Here is a 20908-nt window from a genome sequence, read left to right as displayed (position 1 = left end):
GTCTGTATCTCCTTGCTTACAACCTCCTAATAGCTTCTTGTTGCTCACTGTCTTCTGGCCCATGTCAACCATTTTATACCTCACAATATGCCTTATTCTCATTGATTTGTTGGTGCTCACTCTTCTGTGAGGCATTATCCCTGTAAAGACAGGAACCCTGTCTGTCTTGTAAACTCTGTATCCTGAGCACTCTCCTGAGACTGGCACATAATAGGTGTTTAGTAGACAATAAGGATGAACAGACCTTTGCGTTAGTGCACATGCCTGAGGCAGACCCAGCTGGATTCTGTCCCTGCTTACCCTGACTCATCTTGAGTCTGTCCCCAGGGCAGCCTGTTCCTGGAATCAAAGACTCTGATTTTTTTGAGGCAGTCTGACAATGCTGTTGCTAAGGGCTTCCTCTGAGGGCTGGCTGTGAGAGAACAAAGCTGTATTCTCTAGATCACTGTCCCCGAACTAAGTCTTGGGCCCTGGTTAGCGGCAGCATCAAGAAACATCCACACAAATGGTAAACAGACCAGCTGTCCTGGTTGTGGGTGGTGCCATTGGAAGGTCATGCTCCTAGGAGACCTGGCGTGTTCTCATCTCACTTTCCCAGACTGCAGCACTGTTTGGACCTCCAGGGGGCTGTCTGAAGCCAACAGGAGTGATCAGCCTTGTCCTCAGCCTAAAGCCCAGAGATGCTTAGGAAGGGCTTCATGCAAGACTGGTAGCCTGAGCGTCTGTCCTGAATCCCTGCGGGCAGATATTTACTTCTATGAGTCAGAAGCTTGGAGGCACTTCCTGGTCATTGTTGGCACCAGGTCACAATTCCAAGAACCTTATTGCTGCTGCTTCCAGTTCAGGAGATGGTGGCTGGTTTAGCCACAGACAGACGGTGCAGGTTACCTGATGAGCCATGATTGCCCGGGACCCTGAGAGTCGGGAGAGAGACACAGGGTGAGGGAGGCAGCTCAGTGAGCCAGGGGAGCAAAGCAGAGCCCTGGTCCTGCCAGTGCCAGTCCCTGACTCCCTGTCTCCAGCCACCTGTGCCGCGACTGAGGAGGGTGAGGAGGAGGGGGTGCAGGCCATGGTAGAGATGTCTCTAGAGCTCTGCTTCCTGAGCCACACGGATTAGGGGGAACAGCCCCCCTTCCCTGGCCTCTCTTAATTGAGGGGACTTAATGCCAATCTATCCTGACCCCTGGCTGTGCCCCTCACATAAGTTGCTGAGTCTGGTTATTCTTTTTGAGGAGCGGGTGGTTGGGAGTTGGGAGAGTGTGGTCCATCACTGTCCAGGAAACCTGGAAGGACACAGCTGCTGAACCCAATGAACAGTAAAGGGAAACAAGGAGACAAGTGTCTGGTTTGCAAGCTGAGGCCAGCCATGAACTCACTTCCCAGGCCGCCAGAAATCCATGGGTCTCTCTTCCCATGTGATTCCTCACTAGATCAGCACATAAGGGAGAGTGCTGGAGTTTGGGAAGAATCAGTTAGCCTATTTGTGTGATTCACTGGATTCACTGGAAATGCAGAAAACCCCAGGAATCAGGAGAAAGTGCTGGCTGAGGTAAAAAAAATAAAAAGATAAATATAAAAGTATTAGCCAACTTTGAGCTTCTTCAGAACTAAGGGTATCAGAGAGTTTGAGAAGTACACTTCTAATACATGCCTGAAGACACTGTATGTAGTTTGGGGTATAAATTGTTCCTCGTACCTGAATCTCTTATGCTCTAACTAACATGAGCAGGAAATTTGTGTTTCTCTATTTTGTGCATTGGGAAGTCAGGAATAATGTACCCAAGGCTTTCCATTGAAAAGCACAGACATTTTCTCTGACCTCACAAAATCCACAGAAATGACCAGGAATGGTTTAATGACAACAACGTATAACATCATTGACTAGCAAACAATTGAAATTACCTAAAAGCTAGAATACTTCACTGGTACTCAGTTCAAAATGCAATGATCAACTATTAAAATATTTTATCCTTTTAAATAAATGGAACACTACTTACATTAACTTTAAATGACAAGAGCATAAAGGTGGATCAAACCAGAGGAATGAGCACCAGGTTTAATCACCATTGTGGAAATATTAAAAACAGAAATAAAAAATGCATCCAAATGAAGAAAAGTACTTATTTTGATTGCATGGGATAAGGTAGCTTAGCAGAGAACTTGGTGATTTTTAATACTTTCTGACTTTATATAATAGTCATGGATTGCTTTGAAAGTAACTCAATAAAATAAACTTTAATAATATACCCATGGAGAGTTTATTTTCTTTGCTCTTAGCTCAGAAAGCCCATCGTTTGAAGAAGCTTCTGTCTGGAGGAAATGCATTTAGACTCAGCCTTTAGATCTGATCCTGCTGTTTCTGGTTTTTTTTTTTCATATAAAACAAATAACTTTTGCTTTGTCTCATTCAATTACTGCAAATCACTCTCACATTTCCTCCACTTCAGGGCACAAGGAGGGATAGAAATCAATTCAGACCCTTTCCTTCCCCTTTCTATGGCTGGTCCACATGTAGGCTGTCTTGAGAGCTGGTGTGTATGATCACACAATCTCCACATCACAAGGGCCGAGGGAGGTTTATGTCTTGGTTCCTCTTATGAGTCTGTCACTGTGCTGAGCACCACCATAGTAGAGCAGGCAGTAATACTCAGCCTCGTCCTCAGGCTGCACACCTGACAGTGTCAGGGCAGCTTTGCCCCCAAGGAGGGAGCCTGAGAACCGGGCAGGGGTCCAGGAGTGTTTGTTGCTTGTACTATAAATCAGTGCCCTGGGTGCTTGTCCAGGTTTCTGCTGGAACCAGTTTGGATAGTAACCACTGGTGACTGCTCCAGTGCTGGAAGCACAGGTGAGAGTGACTGTCCCTCCTGGGGACACAGTCAGTGAGGGCTCCTGAGTCACCACAGTCTGAGAATTGGACCCTGAAACAAAAAACAGACACATGTTAGAAATTAGAAGGGCAGACAGAAGGATCCCTCCAAAGGCTGGTATTTGAAATCTCTCTTAACCTGGGCAGCAAGTGAGGAGGAACAGAAAGAGAGGAGTCCAGGCCATGGTGCTGATATTGGAAGGGACCCCTGGCGCCAGAGCTGGGGCTGGATTCTGATGGCTCTTTATCTCCTATTGAGCTCTCTCCATGGAGGGGGTGTGCTGTGTGCTGCTTTATGCAAATCTTTACTGCCTTTATCACCACCTGGGTCCACAGGCCTGAGAGCAGCTACACTGTGAGGGGCCAGCCCAGGGAGGCTGTGTGCTGTGGATTTGTCCTGTGGGAGGAAGCAGCTGCTCTAACATTTACATGAGTCAATGAGCACCTGTGCAGGGTTCATGAAGTTTGGACCTCTTGAGCTTCTTACAGTCCAAGAGACCCAGACCACCCCCTGGTGGCTTTCCTGGACTGAGAATGCGTGGTCTTTCACTTGTTTCACAAATAACTGTGGATTTATCTTTGGACATTGCCACAATATTTTCCAGGCCAATTCACACTCATTAATTGTCTATTCTTTGCTCATTCCTATTTGTGCTACTTTCTCTTGCTGTTGCTGAAATTCTGCCCCTGTGACTATAATTTGATATTAGTGTTACATGGTGTTCATTTTTATTTGAATGACTAAATTAATTGTTTTAATGACCTACTGGCTTTCTGTAACTATTTGTGTTGAGCCTTATATTGGATAAACAGCTGGTTTAAGTGAGAATTTTTTAAAAAATTTACTTTAGACAATTTTTTTTTAATGACAGTTTTACAGAAGGATTAAAAGATCCTGGGGTCAGTAGCTGTTGGCTTATGGCACAGAATATAAGAGTAGTCACTGGAAGTGGAAGAAGAATGATGATGAGCAGGGAGTCTCTCACAGTCTTACTCAGCCTTTTAACTTACAAAATCAATAAGCTATGTTCTGTAGCATCTTTGAGAGAACATTTGAGACCATTCAAAAACAACAACAGCAAAAGCCATTCAGTATTATTTCCCAGAACGTCTATATTTGTGAAAGACTGTACTGTTTCCACTGAAAAGTCTTGACAACCTTGTTTAAAATTATTTGACTGTATAACTAAGAGTTTTTTTTCTAGGCACTCAGTTCTATTTTATTTGTCAGTATGTATGTTACATATATACCACTCTGTTTTGATTAGTGTAGCTTTGTAGTATGTTTTGAAATCAGAAAGTGTGAGACCTCCAACACTGGTCTTCTTTTACAAGATGACTTTGACTGTTTAGGTTCCCTTCATACTCTATATAAATTTTAGGTTTAATTTTTTTCTATTCTTGCATAAAATATTACTGGAATGTTTTCAGAGATTGAAATGAATCTGTCAATTCCTCCTGGTTTGTTTTGCTAGCATAACAATACTGAGTTTTCCAGTATACGAACAAAGGATTTCTTTCCATTTATTTGTGTATTCTTTAATTTCTTTTAGTAATGTTTTATACTTTTCAATCTACAAGTCTTTCACCTCTTTGAATAACTTTATTCTTAAGTATTTTACTGTTTCATTTTTATTTATTTGTTTCTTTGAGACAATGTCTCACTGTCACCCAGGCTGGAGTACAGTGGCAAGATCTTGGCTCACTGCAACCTGTCCCTCCTAGGCTGAAGCAATTCTTGTGACTTGGACCCCTGAGTAGCTGGGATTACAGGCATGTGCCACCACAGCTAGCAATTTTATTTTATTTTATCTTGTAGGAACGAGGCTTTACCATATTGTTGAGGCTGGTCTTGAACTTCTAACCTCAGATGATCCGTCCAAATCAGCCTCCCAAAATGCTGAGATTGCAGGCATGAGCTACTGTGCCCAGCCATATTTTACTCTCTCTAATGATGTTGAAATTTGATTTGTTTTATTAATTTTGTTTTGGGTTTTTTCCTGTGTCCTTGTTTAAATATTGAAATATAAGAGATTTTCTAAGTATTGAAATATAAGAGATTTTCTTTCTTCTTTCTTTCTTTCTTTCTTTCTTTCTTTCTTTCTTTCTTTCTATCTCTTTCTTTGTTTCTCTCTTTCTTTCTTTTTTCTTCTTGAGACAGGCTCTTGCTTTGTAGCCCAGGCTGTCCTTGAACTCTTGATCCCAAGTAATCCTCCCACCTCAGCCTCTCAAAGTGCCAGGATTATAGGCGTGATTCACCATGCCCAGCCATGAGATGTTTTTACATGGTGATTTTGTATTCTGAACATTACAGAATACATTTAATCATTCTGACAAAAGCTGTTTTGTGGAACTTTTAAGGGTATTCTACATATGACATTAAATCCATTGAAAACAGAGATAGTTTTACTTTTTATTTCTAATTGTTATCCTGTTTATTTATTTCTCTTGCCTTATTGCTATGGCTAGGACTTTCAATACTGTTTTGAATAGAAGCAGTGAAAGTGTACATTGTTGCTATGTTCCTGATATTACAAAAACATATCTTTGGTCTTTAAGATTATGTATGATGTTGACTGTGGGATTTTCATAGATAGCTTTTACTATGTTAGGGTAGTTTCTTTGTATTCATAGTTCACTGAGCGTTTTTATCATGAAAGGGTGTGGAGGTTTGTGAAATGACTTTCTGTAGACAGGGTCTTACTGCTTTGCATCTGGAAGAACCACTCTGTTCTACACCCACCAAACCCCCTCCAATATATGCCTGGTGTTAGAGAGGAATAAATACTTTGTGTTCGCCTGGGACCAGTGGCCAGTGGCCACTCCACCAGACCCACAGCACTGGTCACCTGTGTGAGGGGATTGGGGAGAAAAAGAGGCCCTCATGGGTAGAACTGTAGACTCGGCTTCAAGCCATAGCAGCTGTTACTTCTGTATAGATGTTGACTGGGATGGAACTACCCCTGCTACCCTGGACTCAGACATGGGCGAGGGGTCCAGGGAAAACAGAGGCATGGACCAGAATCAGAAACAATAAGGTGAGGGGACGAGGCTCAGGCTCCTGTGAGTAGTTTGGGGTGACTGTTATAGCAAGTGCCCCATTTTCCCCAGAGTTGGTGGCTGTGCTGATGAGTCTCTCAAGGAAGCCAGTTTCTCCCTCACTCTGACCACCAGCTGCTGATGGCCCCTTATCCTGTAGATTGATCAGGAATGACTCCTTCGTAACTCCCAAATTTAGAAGACCAGCTAGACTTCTATGGGTGGCCTCAGAGTTTCCATTAATAGGTTTTAGATGAAAGGAAAGGATGTGCAATGGTTTCTTCAAGCAAATCAGTCCCCTCTTCTTATCCCCCAACCCCTTCATAGAACCTCAGTTGAAACAGTCACTGGAATACATTCCCCAGGTTGGGTGGAGAAGGCCAGGTTGATTGAATCTGGTTATTTGTGAGGACATAGCTGCTGAGCCCAGTGAGCAGTGAGCAGATGATGCAGGATGACTTCCCAGGTGTCAGCATCTGTAGACCCCTGAAGGACAAGCTTATAGCACCCAGTGCTGCCCCAGTTCCAGACCTACTGAGTCCTTCAGTTTCTCCCTGCCATTGTCTATTTTCTCCTTCACCAAAGATACAACTGTGAAGGCCCCTGTTAAGCTGCATTTGTACTTATTGCTCTGCACAGAATTCAAGTACCATGACATACCTTTCTGGTCTGTGCTGCTATTTTTAGTTAAATCCTGGAATCTTGGTCTTACTGAAGGAGATTCTCTGATAGACATCACAGCAGGGAGCCCAGTTTGGTGAAGGAGAAGCCACCAGAAGAGCAGCCTGTGCCCCAGAGATGCCTGCTTCTTCCACACTCAAGAGTATAGCCCCTATTCAGGCTGCCAAGTCTTGTCCTGAATACTCGGAGCTCTCAGGGTGGGGCTCCTCTTTCTCTCAGCCCACCCACCTTCAGAATCAAAGAACCCTGGAATTAGGTGTTTCACTGCACAGAGGGAGAGACAGGTTGAGTTCTTCTGTCTCTTACATGTTACTTATGCACTCCTGGCTTAAGCCCCTCTGTGTAGGGACCAAGGAGCACCCTTGCATCTTGTTTGGAAAGACATATGAGGACCCTCATTCAAAATCCTGGCTGCCGCAATGTTTCGGGAGGTCTTGAGTCTGCAGATTTGAAGAATAATAGAAAGAAGAATTAGAAAAGTGAGTAGGCATTATTGATTGGGCATCGTATACTGTGTATTTAGTGCTAACCGATGTGCTTACTTGAGGGTAGCTGTGTTAGAGAAGCCCTGTCTTTGAGGTTCAGCTCATAGACCTGGCATCAGGAAGAGAAGACCAGCTCTAACTCTGCCTCTTCCAGGCTTTGAACCCTGTGTGCAGTTGGCAGATGAACTACAAGGTAAGTTTGTATCTCAAATGAACAATATTGTGTGGGAGTTACACATACTAATTCTTTGTCATTGTTTTACTGAATTCAAATTTAACTGACCTTCGGTGTTTTTATTTGATAAACTGGAGAACCTTCCATCCAGGCCACAAGCACTCCCTCTCTAATCACGACCTACTGAATGAAAAGCAATCATAAAGCTGTTGTCAGGATTAAATGAGGTCACACTCTTAGGAATTCAAAAGCCGTTGGCCAATAGTAAGGTTGCAGTTGTACTAAATCTTGATAAAACCTATCAAAACCTCTGGGATACAGCAAAAGCAGTGCTATGAGGAATGTTTAGAATTAAATACGTACATCACAAAGTCTGAAAGAGCACAAATAGACAATCTAAGGTTACACCTCATGGAAATGGAGAATCAAGAACAATGCAAACCCAAACCCAGCAGAAGAGAGGAAATAGCAATATCAGACCAGAACTAAATAAAATTCAAACAAAAAAATGATAGAAAAGATAAATGAAACAAAAACCAATTCTTAGACAAGATAAATAAAATTATATATACCACTAGTGAGATTAACCAAGAAAAGAAGAGAAAAGATCCACATAAGCTGGATCTTAGTGTGGATCACCTCACCTGAGGTCAGGAGTTCGAGACCAGCCTGACCAACATGGTGAAACCTCATCTACACTAAATACAAAAAATTAGTGGGGTGTGATGGTACATACCTGTAATCCCAGCTACTTGGGAGGCTGAGGCAGGAGAATTGCTTGAAACCAGAGATGGAGGTTTCAGTGAGCCATGATTCTGCCATCGTAGTTTAGCCTGGGCAACAGAGTGAAACTTTATTAAAAAAAAATAAACCCACAATATTGCATCTGTGGAGGGATTGCAGAGATTAGTGATACCATCAAGGACTTGAAAAATGCAGGGGTGGTGATTCTCACAACATCCCCTTTCAACACTCCCATTTGGCCTGTGCAGAAGATAGATGGATCTTGGAGAATTATAGTGGATTATCGGAAGTTTAACCAAGTGGTGACTCCAATCGCAGCTGCTGTACCAGATGTGGTTTCCTTGCTTGAGCAAATTAATGCATCTCCTGGCACCTCATATGCAGCCATTGACTTGGAAAATGCCTTTTTCTCCATTCCGGTCCATAAGGCCCACCAGAAGCAATTTGCGTTCAGCAGGCAAGGCCAGCAATATACTTTTACGGTCCTACCTCAGGGGTATATGAGCTCTCCAGCTGTGTGTTATAATCTTATTCAAAGAAATTTTGATTGCTTGTCTCTTTTGCAAGATATAACACTGACCCATTAAATTGATGACATTGTGCTGGTTGCATCCAGTGAGCAAGAAGTAGCAAACACAGTGGACTTACTGGTGAGACATTTGCATGCAAGAGGATGGGCGGTAAATCCAACTAAAATTCAAGGGCATTCTACCTCAATAAAATTTCTAGGTGTCCAGTGGTGTAGGGCCTGTCGAGGCATTCCTTCTAAGGTGAAGGATAAGTTGCTGCATTTAGCCCCTCCTACAACCAAGAAAGGCACAATGGCTAGTGGGCCTATTTGGATTTTGGAGGCAACATATCTCTAATTTGGGTGTGTTACTCCAGTCCATTTATCAAGTAACCCAAAAGGCTGCCAGGTTTGAGTGGGATTCAGAACAGGAGAAGGCTCTGCAACAGGTCCAGGCTGCTGTGCAAGCTGCTCTGCCACTTGGGCCGTATGACCCAACAGACCCAGTGGTATTTGGGTGTCAGCGGCAGATAGCAAAGCTACTTGGAGTCTTTGTCAGGCCACTGTAAGTGAATCACAGTGGAGGCCTCTAGGATTTTGGTGCAAGGCCCTGCCATCTTCTGCAGGTAGCTACTCTCTTTTTGAGAGACAGCTCTTGGCCTATTACTGGGCTTTGGTGGAAACTGAACATTTGACTATGCGTCTTAAAGTCCCCATGCAACCTGAACTGCCTGTCATGAAGTGGGTGCTTTCTAACCCATTTAGCCATAAAGTGGATCATGCACAGCAGCATTCCATCATTCAGTGGAAGTGGTATATACGTATTTGGGCTGAAGGCACAAGTAAATTACATGGGGAAGTGGCTCAAATGTCCATGACCTCCACTCCTGCCACCAGCCTGCACTATCCCCCAGCCTGCACTGGTGGTCTCAGGGGCAGTTCACTATGATCAGCTGACAGAAAGAAGACTAGGGCCTGGTTCACAAATGTATCTGCATGATATGCAGGCACCACCGGAAAGTGGACAGCTGCAGCACTACAGCCCCTTTCCAGGACATCCCTGAAGTACAGCGGTGAAGGGAAATCTTCCCATTGGGCAGAACTTTGAGGAGCACACCTGGTTGTGCTCTTTGCATGGAAGGAGAAATCTCCAGATGTGTGATTATATATGAATTTATTTGCTGTAGCCAACGGTTTGGCTGGACAATCAGGGACTTCTTGGAGGCCGAAAGAATGAGGGTTGTGACCAACTCAGTATACCACTGGAGCAAACAGCAAGCTGTTCTCATGAATGCAGGTTGTTGGCAAACGACAAACTGCATCTACCACCAGAACGAATGCTGAGAGCTGTCACGCCCCAAGCACAGTGTTTCTTTTGATTATCTGCAGCACATCTGAAGTATGTTGTATAAAGAAAGCAATCCTGTGAACCTGTGATAAATCAAGCAGCTGACCAACTGTTAACTCCTCCTCCCTGTTCTTTCTACCTAATAAATATGAAGGATTGCAGTAGCTCAGGGCCCTTGCTCACTAGAAGCAAGGAGCCCCCTGACCCCTTCTTTAAAACAGATCCCTTTGTCTTTGTCTTCATTTCTGTGTTAGTCCCCCTTCATTCTGTCCTGTAGTAACTGTCACAGGGACTAGGAAGAAGTATGATTGGAAAATTGATGACAAAGAAATTTGGGGAAAAGATATGTGGATGGACCTCTCTGAGTGGTCAAAAACTGTGAAAGTATTTGTATCCCATGTGAGCGCTCACCAACGGGTGACCTCAGCAGAGGAGGATTTTAATAATCAAGAGGAGAGTATGACCAGTTCTGTGAACACCACGCATCCTCTTTCCCCAGCCACCCCTGTCATCGCCCAATGGGCCCATGAGGGAAGTGGCCATGCTGGCAGGAATGGAGGTTACACATGGGCTCATCAACATGGACTTCCACTCTCCAAGGCTGACCTAGCTACAGCCACTGCTGAGTGCCCAATTTGCCAGCAGCAGAGACCAACACTGAGCCCTCGATGTGGCACCATTCCTTAGGGTTATCAGCCAGCTACCTGGTGGCAGGTTGATTATATTGGACCTCTGTTGGGATTCACTCAGGATGGTGGCAGAAATATCAAAGGGAAATATTAGGGAAAGTTATAGGGAATAATCACAAACATTTTGGAAGGCTAAAATGTTACATAGCTTGTAATAATTGTACAGGCTGAAGGCAGCTGGTTCTTACCTTAGAGCATTAGGTCATAGGGTAAATGCTAGGGACAATGGAGGCTTTCCCAGTTAAGCCTGTTTACCCTATCTCCATTAACTAACCTTTGAGCCAGATGGCCCTCTCGGTGGGAGGTCAACCAGGGATATTGCCCCGTAATGGTATTTACTTTAGACCAGGGTACTGAGCTTTAGTCATTCGTAGAACTACTCTCTTAACCATGTTAATTATCCACAAGTGTGTTTACTCAAAGCTTCTGTTGTTAATTGTATACTAAATAAATGCCTGGAGTACCAGCTGCTCAGGACCCACCACAGTGACAAACCTCTCCTGGTGTGTATGTTGTCGGACACTCAGAATCAAAGAACCCAGCCGGACTGGCCAAACAGAATATCTGTGTGTCAGTGTCCGTTTTTATTCATCCGTCGTTTGAGTCAGGGTCTGCAGGCAGACCCCCGCAGCTAATGCTGTCTTCTGAGGAGCAATATCTCAACTGGTGCCCTGTGTGAGGAGAAATACAACAGACCTCTTCCATCACAGGAAGGGCAGAGGTTTGTCTTAACTGAAATAGACACTTATCCTAGATATTGGTTTGCCTATGAGACTACCATCCGTGTACTCTTGGAATGCCTCATTCACTGTCATCATATTCCACACAGCAATGCTCTGACAAAGGCTCTCACTTTATGACTAAAGAAGTGCAGCAGTGGGCTCAAGCTCACAAAATTCACTGGTCTTACCATGTTCCCCATCATCCTGAAACAGCTGGATTGATAGAACAGTGGAATGGCTTTTGAAGTCACAATTACATTGCCAACTAGGTGACAATACTTTGCAGGGCCAGGGCAAAGTTCTCCAGATGGCTGTGTATGCTTTAAATCAGCATCCAATATATGGTACTGTCCCTCCCGTAGCCAGGATTCATGGATCCAGGAATCAAGGGGTGGAAGTGGAAGTGGCACCACTCACCATCAACCCTAGTGATCCACTAGCAAATGTTTTCCTTCCTGTTCCTGAGACATTATGTTCTGCTGGCTCAAAGGATTTACTTCCAGAGGAAGGAACACTACCACCTGGAGACACAACAATGATTCCATTAAACTGGAAGTTAAGATTGCCACCTGGACATTTTGGGCTTCTCCTACCTTTAAGTCAATGGCTAAGAAGGGAGTTACAGTGTCGGCTGGGGTGATTGACCCAGACTATCAAAATGAAATCAGTTTACTACTCCACAATGGAGTTACTGAAGAACATGCATGGAATACAGGAGATGCATTAGGGCATTTCTTGCTATTACCATGCCCTGTGATTAAGGTCAATGGGACCCTTCAGGAATGAAGATTTGGGTCACTCCACCAGGAAAAAAAACACAACCTACTGAGGTGCTTGCTGAAGGCAAAGGGAATACAGAATGGGTAGTAGAAGAAGGTAGTCATCAATACCAGCTATGGCCAGCGGCAGAAACGAGGAGTGTAATTGTCAAGAGTATTTCCTCCTTCTTTTGTTAAAAACATGTTTGCGCATCTATAAACTCGTACTAAGAAAATATCTTCATTTTATTTCCTTTCTCCTTTATCATATAACATAAGATTTATTGACGTCACATCAGCATTTAAGTATCAGTAACTTGATGTAATAGTATTTGTGTTAGGGATTCGTGCGTTCTGGTTGTATGAAGGATAATTGTATTATGTTAGGCGTAATTATGACTTTATTATTGTCTTTATTTGAAGATTATGTACGATATCACAAGTTGTATATGGGTTCATGCTGACAAGGAGTGGACTTGTGATGAGTAATACTGAGCGTCAACTTGATTGGATTGAAGGACAAAAAGTATTGGCCGGGCGCAGTGGCTCATGCCTGTAGTCCCAGCACTTTGGGAGGCTAAGGCGGGCAGATCACAAAGTGAGGAGATCGAGACCATCCTGGCTAACACGGTGAAACCCCGTCTCTACTAAAAATTCAAAAAAATTAGCCGGCCATGGTGGTGGGCACCTGTAGTCCCAGCTACTCGGGAGGCTGAGGCAAAGAATTGCTTGAACCCTGGAGGCGGAGCTTGCAGTGAGCGGAGATCGCGCCACTGCACTCCAGCTTGGGTGACAGAGCAAGACTCCATCTCCAAAAAAAAAAAAGAAAAAAAGTATTGATCCTTGGTGTGTGTGTCTGTTGAGGGTGCTGCCAAAGGAGATTCACATTTTTGTCAGTGGGTGGGAAAGCCACACTCACCCTTAATCTGGGTGGGAACAATCTAATCAGCTGACAGCATGGCTAGAAAATAAGCAGGTAGAAAAATATGAAAAGAGAGATGGGCATAGCCTCCCAGCCTACATCTTTCTCCCATGCTGGATGCTTCCTGCCTTCAAATATGGAACTCCAACTTCTTCAGTTTTGGAACTCGGACTGGCTCTCCTTGCTCCTCAGCCTGCAGACAGCCTATTGTTGGACCTTGTGTTCATGTGAGTTAATACTTAATAAACATATATATATATTCCATTATTTGTGTCCCTCTAGAGAACGCTGACTAATGCATTAATCCACAGGAAGGAAAAAGGGGGACTCCTTCCTAAATTATTCTATGTATCCAACAGCTATCAAAAACATAGTCCACAATGATCAAGTGGTTTTCAAACCAGGGAATGCAGAGATGGTTTAACATATGTGAGTCAATAAATGTGATATACCACATAAAAAGCATTAAAAACAAAAATGACATGATTATCTCAATACATGCAGAAAAAATACTTGACAAAATCCAGCATCACTTCATGATTAAAACTCTTTGCAAAATTGACATAGAAAAGACATAACTTATGTCCTCTATTAAGCCCTCTATTACAAACACACAGTCAACATTATATTAAACGGAAAAAAGTGGAAAACGTTTCTCCTGAGATCTGGAACAAGGCAAGAATGCCCACTTTCACCACTTCTATTCAACATAGTACTGGAAGGCTTAGCCAGAGCAATCAGACAAGAGAAACAAATCAAAGATATCCAAATTGACAAAGAGGAATTCAAACTGTCACTATTTGCTGATAATATGATCATATACCTAGAAAACCTTAAAGACTCATCGAAAAAGCTCCTAGAACTGTAAATAAGTTCAGCAAAGTTTCAAGATACAAAATTAAGGCACACGAATCAGTAGCTCTGTTATACAATGACAGCAAACGAGCTGAAAATCAAATCAAGAACTCAACCCCTTTCGCAAATAGCTGCAAAATACATACTTAGGATATACCTAGCCAAGGAGGTGAAAGACCTCCACAAGGAAAACTACAAAACACTGCTGAAAGAAATCATAGATGACACACACAAACAAATAGAAACACATCCCATGCTCATGAATGGGTAGAAACAATACATTGAAAATGATCATACTGCCAAAAGCAAGTTACAAAATCTATGCAATTCCCATCAAAATATCACCATCATTCATTAGAGAATTGGAAAAAATAATCCTAAAATTCATATGGAACCAAAAAGAGCCTGCATAGACAAAGCAAGACTAAGCAAAAGGAACAAATCTGGAGGCATCGCATTACCCAGCTTCAAACTCCAGTAAAGTTTGACTCCATAGTCACTAAATCTGCTTGGTACTGATATAAAAATGGGCACACAGACCAAAGGAACAGAATAAAGAATCCAGAAATGAAACCAAATACTTCCAACCCACTGATGCTTGACAAAGCAAACAAAAACATAAAGTAGAAAAATGACACCATATTCAACAAATGGTGCTGGGATAATTGGCAAGCCAAATGTAGAGGAATGAAACTGCATCCTCATCTCTCACCTTATACAAAAATCAACTCAAGATGAATCAAATAATTAAATCTAAGGCCTGAAACGGTAAGAATTCTAGAAGATAACGTCAGAACAACCTTGCTAGACATTGGTTTAGGCAAATATTTCATGACCAAGAACACAAAAGCAAATGCAACAAGAACAAAGATAAATAGATGGGACTTAATTAAACGAAAAAAACTTCTGCACAGCAAAAGAAAGAATCAGCAGAGCTAACAGACAACCAACAAAGTGGATGAAAATCTTCACAATCTATACATCCAACAAATGACTAATATCTAGAATGTACGAAGAACTCAAATTATCAAGAAAAAAATAAACACTTCCATCAAAAGGTGGACTAAGGACACGAATAAACAATTTTCAAAAGAACTTGTACAAATGGCCAACAAACATATAGAAAAATGTTCAACATCACTAATAATCAGGGAAATGCAAATCGGTACCACAATCTGTGTTACCACCTTCCTATCACAAGAATAGCTATAATAAAAAAATAACAGATGTTGGCATGGATGTGGTGAAAACAAAACACTTTCACACTGGCGGTGGGAAGGTAAACTAGTACAATCACTGTGGAAAACAGTGTGGAGATTCCTTAAGGAAACAAAAATAGACGTACCCTTTGATCCAGCAATCTCACGACTAGGTATCTACCCAGAGAAAAAGAAGTCATTATACAAAAAAAGATACTTGCACACGCATGTTTATAGCAGCACAATCTGTAATTGCAAAAACATGGAACCAGCTCAAATGTCCATAAATCAACAAGTGGGTAAAGCAAATGTGATGTATACATACACATACCAGGGAATACTACACAGCCATAAAAATAAACAAAATAATGGCATTCACAGCAACCTGGATGGAACTGGAGACTATCATTCTAACTGGTGTAACTCAGGAATGGAAAACAAAACACTGTATGTTCTCACTCATAAGTGGGAGATAAGCTATGAGAACCCAAGGGCATAACAATGATACAATGGACTTTGGGGACTCGGGGGAAAGCATAGGAGGGAGGTGAGGGATGAGAGGCTACTCATTGGATACAGTGTACACTGCTTGGATGATGAGTGCACCACAATCTCAGGAATCACCACTAACGAACTTATATATGTAACCAAGCAACACTTGTTCTCCAAAAACCTATTAAAATAAAATAACAAATTTTAAAAATAATTAAAAAGGGAAAATCGCTAAAACCCTTAAAAAAACCCCAAAATAAATAAATAAATAAATAAAAGATGAGAACCTCTTCCACTATAGAGAGAGCCAAGAAAAGAACTGAAGAAGCAAGAATCCTGACAAACCATCACGGACTGTCCTGTCACCTTAGATGAACATCACCCATAGAGTTTGTTTGATGAACAATAAATTCAAACTTTAAAGGAAATACATGAATAAAATCAGAAAAAAATGGCCTAAGGACCCTTAAAGATAGTAATGAGCCCTCTAAGGGATGGGTGCAATTCAGCGACAGCAGGGATAATCTCAAAGCAAGTGTGCAGAGTGAAAGAAGCCTGAACAAATGGGAAGATAACGTTTGATAACACTGATACATTCCAGAAAAAAAAACCAAACAGTAGTGAGAGAGGCAGATCTGTGGCTTCCTGAGAGGCCATTAGGGGAGGGAGGGAGGAGACAAGCATCATGAGGAGCTGCCGGGATGGTCACAATAGCTCCCGGGGATGGTGATGTTTTCAAGGAACCAGAAAAATGCCAAAATTTGTCTAATTTCCTGTTATAAATATGGGTAGTTTATTAGATGTGCATAGTTCCTACATGAAAGGAGTTTTATTAAAAAAGAATAGGCTGGAGAGAAAGGAAGCACAGGGATTCACACTGAGGAGCAGGGGGAGGAAGACACCACTCTGGAAACTCCTGGAAATGGGAAAAGGAGGATGACGGAGACACGGGTTCCCCATCAGAGGTGGGTCTGAGATGACACAACTGGACCTGCCACCTCAGCCCAGGACTTCAGTGCAGAGACCCTGTGTCCTAAGCTGCAGGGAGGAGGATGTTCTGTTTCCTGGATGTCCTGTTCCTGACTCTGAGGACTGAAGGGGAGGAGGAGCCTCCACTCTCAGGCAGGGCCCTGGATGCCCCTGGACCCATGAAGGAAGCTGCAGCAGCAGAAGCCACAGGCCAGGCCTGAGCAGCAGCTGCTGGGGCTCACCCTCCTGACAGAGGAGGAAGGGGGTTCTTGTCTCAGTTCCCCATTGGCCTGGAGCACTGTGGGACCATTCAGGCTGTCATCCCATGCTGCACAGTAATAATCAGCCTCATCCTCAGACTGGAGCCCACTGATGGCCAGGGAGGCTGAGGTGCCAGACTTGGAGCCAGAGAATCGGTCAGGGACCCCTGAGGGCCGCTGATTATTACTATAGATGAGGAGTTTGGGGGCCGTTCCTGGGAGCTGCTGGTACCAGTTTACAGTATTACTTCCGATGTTGGAGCTGCTTCCAGAACAAGAGATGGTGACCCTCTGCCCGGGGGTCCCAGACGCTGAGGGTGGCTGAGTCAGCACAGACTGGGCCCAGGACCCTGGAAGTGAGAGAGACACAGACATGGTGATTGACAAGAGACAAAAGGAGACAAGAGGAGAAAGCAGGGCCCCATGGGCTTCCCAGGGCCCCTTTCTTGGTCCCCATCCTGTCACCTGCACAGTGAGTGAGGAGGGTGAGGAGGAGAGGGAAGCTGGCCATGCTGGAGATTGTCCTGAGTCCTGTCTTCTCTACCCACAGCTGAAGCTGAGCTTCCCCCAGATCTCTCCCTCTCTTCATACTCTGAGAGGGGGAGAGTCCATCCATGCAAATCAGACCCCCCCAGCTTTGTGACCCCACCCTGAGCCCTGGGTCAGGCTCCTTGCCTTGAGGATGTCAGGGTGTGGCAGGGGTGGAGCTCTGTGGTCCCAGAGGGTGGGGAGAACACAGTTGTGAGCCCTGAGCAGAGGACAACAGGCACAACAGGTGGCCGGTTGTGCTCCCATCACCGCCCACCCCCGCCCCCCGCGCGTCTTCTCAGAAATGGTCCCCCAGCGTCCCCTGGTGTCCAGCCAAGGTAAACCATTCTATGATAAGGTGACCAGAGCCTCTCATTCACACCACTGCCTCCCCTCTGTTCTGTCCACTGCCCCCTCTCTCAGGTCCAGGCCAGCTCAAGTGACACCTGTGTCTTCCCGCTGTGACCTCAAGGCAGTCTTCGCGCTCTACTGGACTCCTCAGGAGTGAATCTGTCCATGGCTCTGTGGCTGTACATTGCAGAGGACTCAGGTGGTGTCTACACAGAGTCCTCTTATGTCAGGATCAAGCCCAGAGCGGGGACCAGCCCCATGGACTCACTTCCCCACCTGTGTGGGACACCTGGTCCTCTCCTCTCATGTGGCTCCTTCCTGCTGGCTAGAGCTCTCCTTCCTCTGTGGATCCTGTGGAGCTGAAGAGAAAGGGAGCTCTTCCCTCTAGGGTGCCTTGGGAAGACATTCCCAGAGGGTTTTTCTGGTAAATCTTTGTTCTCTCTCTACTTCCCCAGGTTTGCAGTCAAAGTCATTTGGATACTGTGACCAGGGATCTTGCCTAGGAGTCTGTACACTGAATGCCCATCTACAGGGGATCCTGGCAAATGACTTTGGAGTGTTTCACTTATGAGCAAAAAGAGCAAAGATGCTCAGTCTTTGAAGATGGGAAGAATTAAAACTTCAACTTGGTTTAACCAGCGTCTGTCCTCAGGTGAGCCTGATACATGGCAGCTCTTACTATCGAGCCGCCAACGAGGATTTCTAGGAGAAGATTTTGGTTCAAATTCAGTAGTGAGTGTTGTGGGGGTGGCTTAAAGATGATAGAAATTTTTCGTCTTTGATCTGTAATGACGTCTAGAATCTAATGAACTAAAAACAACAAGCTTAACAGAAAACATAATTCTGTTGATCAAAATGAAAAATGAAACAGGTTATGTCTGTGACTGCCTGAGTTCTGGCATGATACACCCTGGGCTCTTAATAAATATTTGTTTAGGGAATTTTAAGGGGATACAGAAAAACAGCAAGATGATTATGTTGATATAAGTTGTAATACAATAAGATTTTAAATGCTCCATTTAAACAACCAAATAGTGAAACCTAATACAGACATTTAAATAAAACCAGTCCATACATGGAACTGAAATAAAATGTATGCTGTGTTTTGGGATTGCATTTCAAGGGTGTTGTTATTTTAAATGTTTCTTTTAGTGTAAGCCATGTGCCTTTACATAATTTTTATAGTTTTTAAAATATGTTTGTTGTATTTACATAACACATCAGGCATATTAAGTTTTATTTATTTCCAAGTAGAAATAAACTATTAGAGCTGGGCTTCACTTCCTGTTTTTTCTCATTGCTTTTTCTTTGATGATGTATAGATGTTCACAGTGAATTTTGTTTTCCTTTCCTCCCACGTTAATGAACAGGGGGTCACCGAGTCTGAGCAGTGTCTCACATACAGGACAAGGCTGCCCACGGCCTCCTCCCTGCCCACGGATGCGCTTCCTGGTGGATGCCCCATCAGCTGTTAGGTTGAGGGCAGAGAGAAGAACAGGTCCAAAACTACAGGATGTGGACACCCAGAGGATCCGGGAGGGACAACAGCTGGGACAGTGAGCCTTGGACAGAGGACACTGACTATGGATTTTTTATGTGATCCTCCTGAGGGACCCTCAGGGACAGACCAAAACCCCAGTCTCTGTGTGTCTTGAGGGCCCAGGTCCTTCCAGGTCCTCCTTTTGTCACTGCTCTGGGCCCCGGGCCTCCTCCTCCTGTGAGTCACAATGGACACTCTCCTCTTCAGGGTGCACCCTCCTTACCACACCTGACCCCACACCGTCCCCTCATTCCCCCATAAACCATCCCCTGCTCACTTCCATTAGCATTTTTGCATCCTACTGAGATCACAGCCTCCCAAGGATGGCTCTGCAGGATTTCCATGTTGCAGAGAGCTCAGCCCCTTGACAGGACAGCTGGGCCTGGGCCACCCAAGGCTAAGCATCTCTCTTGCTTCTCTTCTACACCAGCTCTAGGCCAAGCCAGATCCAGACCTTTCAGAAGGCTGATCCCACCTTTTCTTAAGCATCAGACTACCTCTCTCACATCTGTGGGTCACACAGGCTGGATTCGCCTTTCTTGTTATCACTCCCACAGTTTCAGAGCTCAGCAAATGGCCAGCATACCTGTTCAAAAAGGAGGGGACACCTGTGGGACCAGGCCGAAGGCTCCTGGACTTCTGGGTCACACTGCCTAGATTCTTTCTTTTCCTTTTTTCTTTTCTTTCTTTCTTTCTTTTTTTTTTTTTTTTTTTTTTTGAGATGGAGTCTCTGCCTGTTGCCCAGGCTGGAGTGCAGTGTCATGATCTCAGCTCAATGCAACCTCCACCTCCCTGGTTCAAGCGATTCTCCTGCCTCAGTCTCTCGAGTAGCTGGGATTACAGGCGCCAGCCACCATGCCCAACTAATTTTTGTATTTTTAGTAGAGACGATGTTTCACCATGTTGCTCACGCTGGTCTCAAACTCCTGACCTCAGGTGATCCACCCACCTCCGCCTCCCAAACTGCTAGGATTACAGGTGTGAGCTGCCATGCCCAGCCAGGCTGGATTCTTTCTTGTCATTTCCACCTCATCCTCACCCACCATGTGTGGGCAGCTTATTTTACTTCTTGAAACAAACTGATTCTCTTTCCACTGGGGAGACCAGTAAGAAAAGGAGTTATCGTCCCTGAACCCTTGCTCTGCTTTCAGTAACACAACTGACAGCTGAAGTCTTGGCATGAACTGGTGTTGGTCACAGGCAGGGATAAAGGAGGGATGGGGAGACAGGATGAGTGGGGAGATCTTTCTATCATTTCCACATGGAACAGGAACCCTTGGTAACATGGAGTCAGGATGCAGCTGTGTGACACTGATAACCAGCCAGGTCCTCAGGCTGGAGCCCAGAGGCACTCCAGGAGGCTGTGTGGATAAACCCAGATCAGGAGAAGCAGGCTGGGACCCCTGAGGGACCATCACTATTGTCCTAGGTCATAAACTTAGGGGTTCTCTCTGGGAGGCCTCATAGCCATTTCCATGGGAATGGCCAATGTTTCTGCTGCTCCCCATGGAGAAAAAGATGACCTTGAGGTGGGGGCCTCCTCAAGAGTTTCCCAGGGAGGAGTCACTTGAAGCAAATATTGGGCAGTTTCTGTATCCAGATATTCCACAGACTCACCACTAGACCTGAGTCAGTGAGAAGCTCCAATGGTGTAAGAGAGGAGAAGAGAACACAGTCAGGCCCTGAGGGATCAGGAAACCCACCCTCAGCAGTCCCCGTGGTCCTGAGTGGGATGAGCTACAGGAGTCACATCCATGGGATCTACTTCCCCCATGGC

General features: G+C 44.4%; 1 pseudogene, 2 gene segments (V, D, J or C) and 1 further gene, besides 1 other annotated feature; all 4 read right to left on the bottom strand.

Moving 5' to 3' along the window:
• IGL (immunoglobulin lambda locus) overlaps positions 1–20908 on the bottom strand; it is an 896838-nt gene that overhangs the window by 524811 nt on the left and 351119 nt on the right.
• IGLVI-42 (immunoglobulin lambda variable (I)-42 (pseudogene)) lies at positions 613–1071 on the bottom strand (annotated as a pseudogene). The gene is given in 2 exon segments: positions 613–903; positions 1027–1071. Coding segments are annotated over 2 exon segments (336 nt in total).
• Positions 2614–3051, bottom strand: IGLV7-43 (immunoglobulin lambda variable 7-43). The segment is given in 2 exon segments: positions 2614–2918; positions 3006–3051. Coding segments are annotated over 2 exon segments (351 nt in total).
• Positions 10558–11127: an enhancer, noted in NCBI's record as "NANOG hESC enhancer chr22:22741343-22741913 (GRCh37/hg19 assembly coordinates)". NCBI's record gives its function as "activates a minimal SCP1, AML or CMV promoter by ChIP-STARR-seq in naive H9 embryonic stem cells {active_cell/tissue: H9 hESC(naive)}" and the evidence as "EXISTENCE:reporter gene assay evidence [ECO:0000049][PMID:30033119]".
• Positions 16756–17223, bottom strand: IGLV1-44 (immunoglobulin lambda variable 1-44). The segment is given in 2 exon segments: positions 16756–17062; positions 17184–17223. Coding segments are annotated over 2 exon segments (347 nt in total).

The sequence above is a fragment of the Homo sapiens genome, chromosome 22 (assembly GCF_000001405.40).
Source record: "Homo sapiens chromosome 22, GRCh38.p14 Primary Assembly".
NCBI lineage: Eukaryota > Metazoa > Chordata > Mammalia > Primates > Hominidae > Homo > Homo sapiens.
The sequence above is the reverse complement of the archived record's forward strand: the minus strand, read 5'-3'. Positions and strand labels throughout refer to the sequence as shown.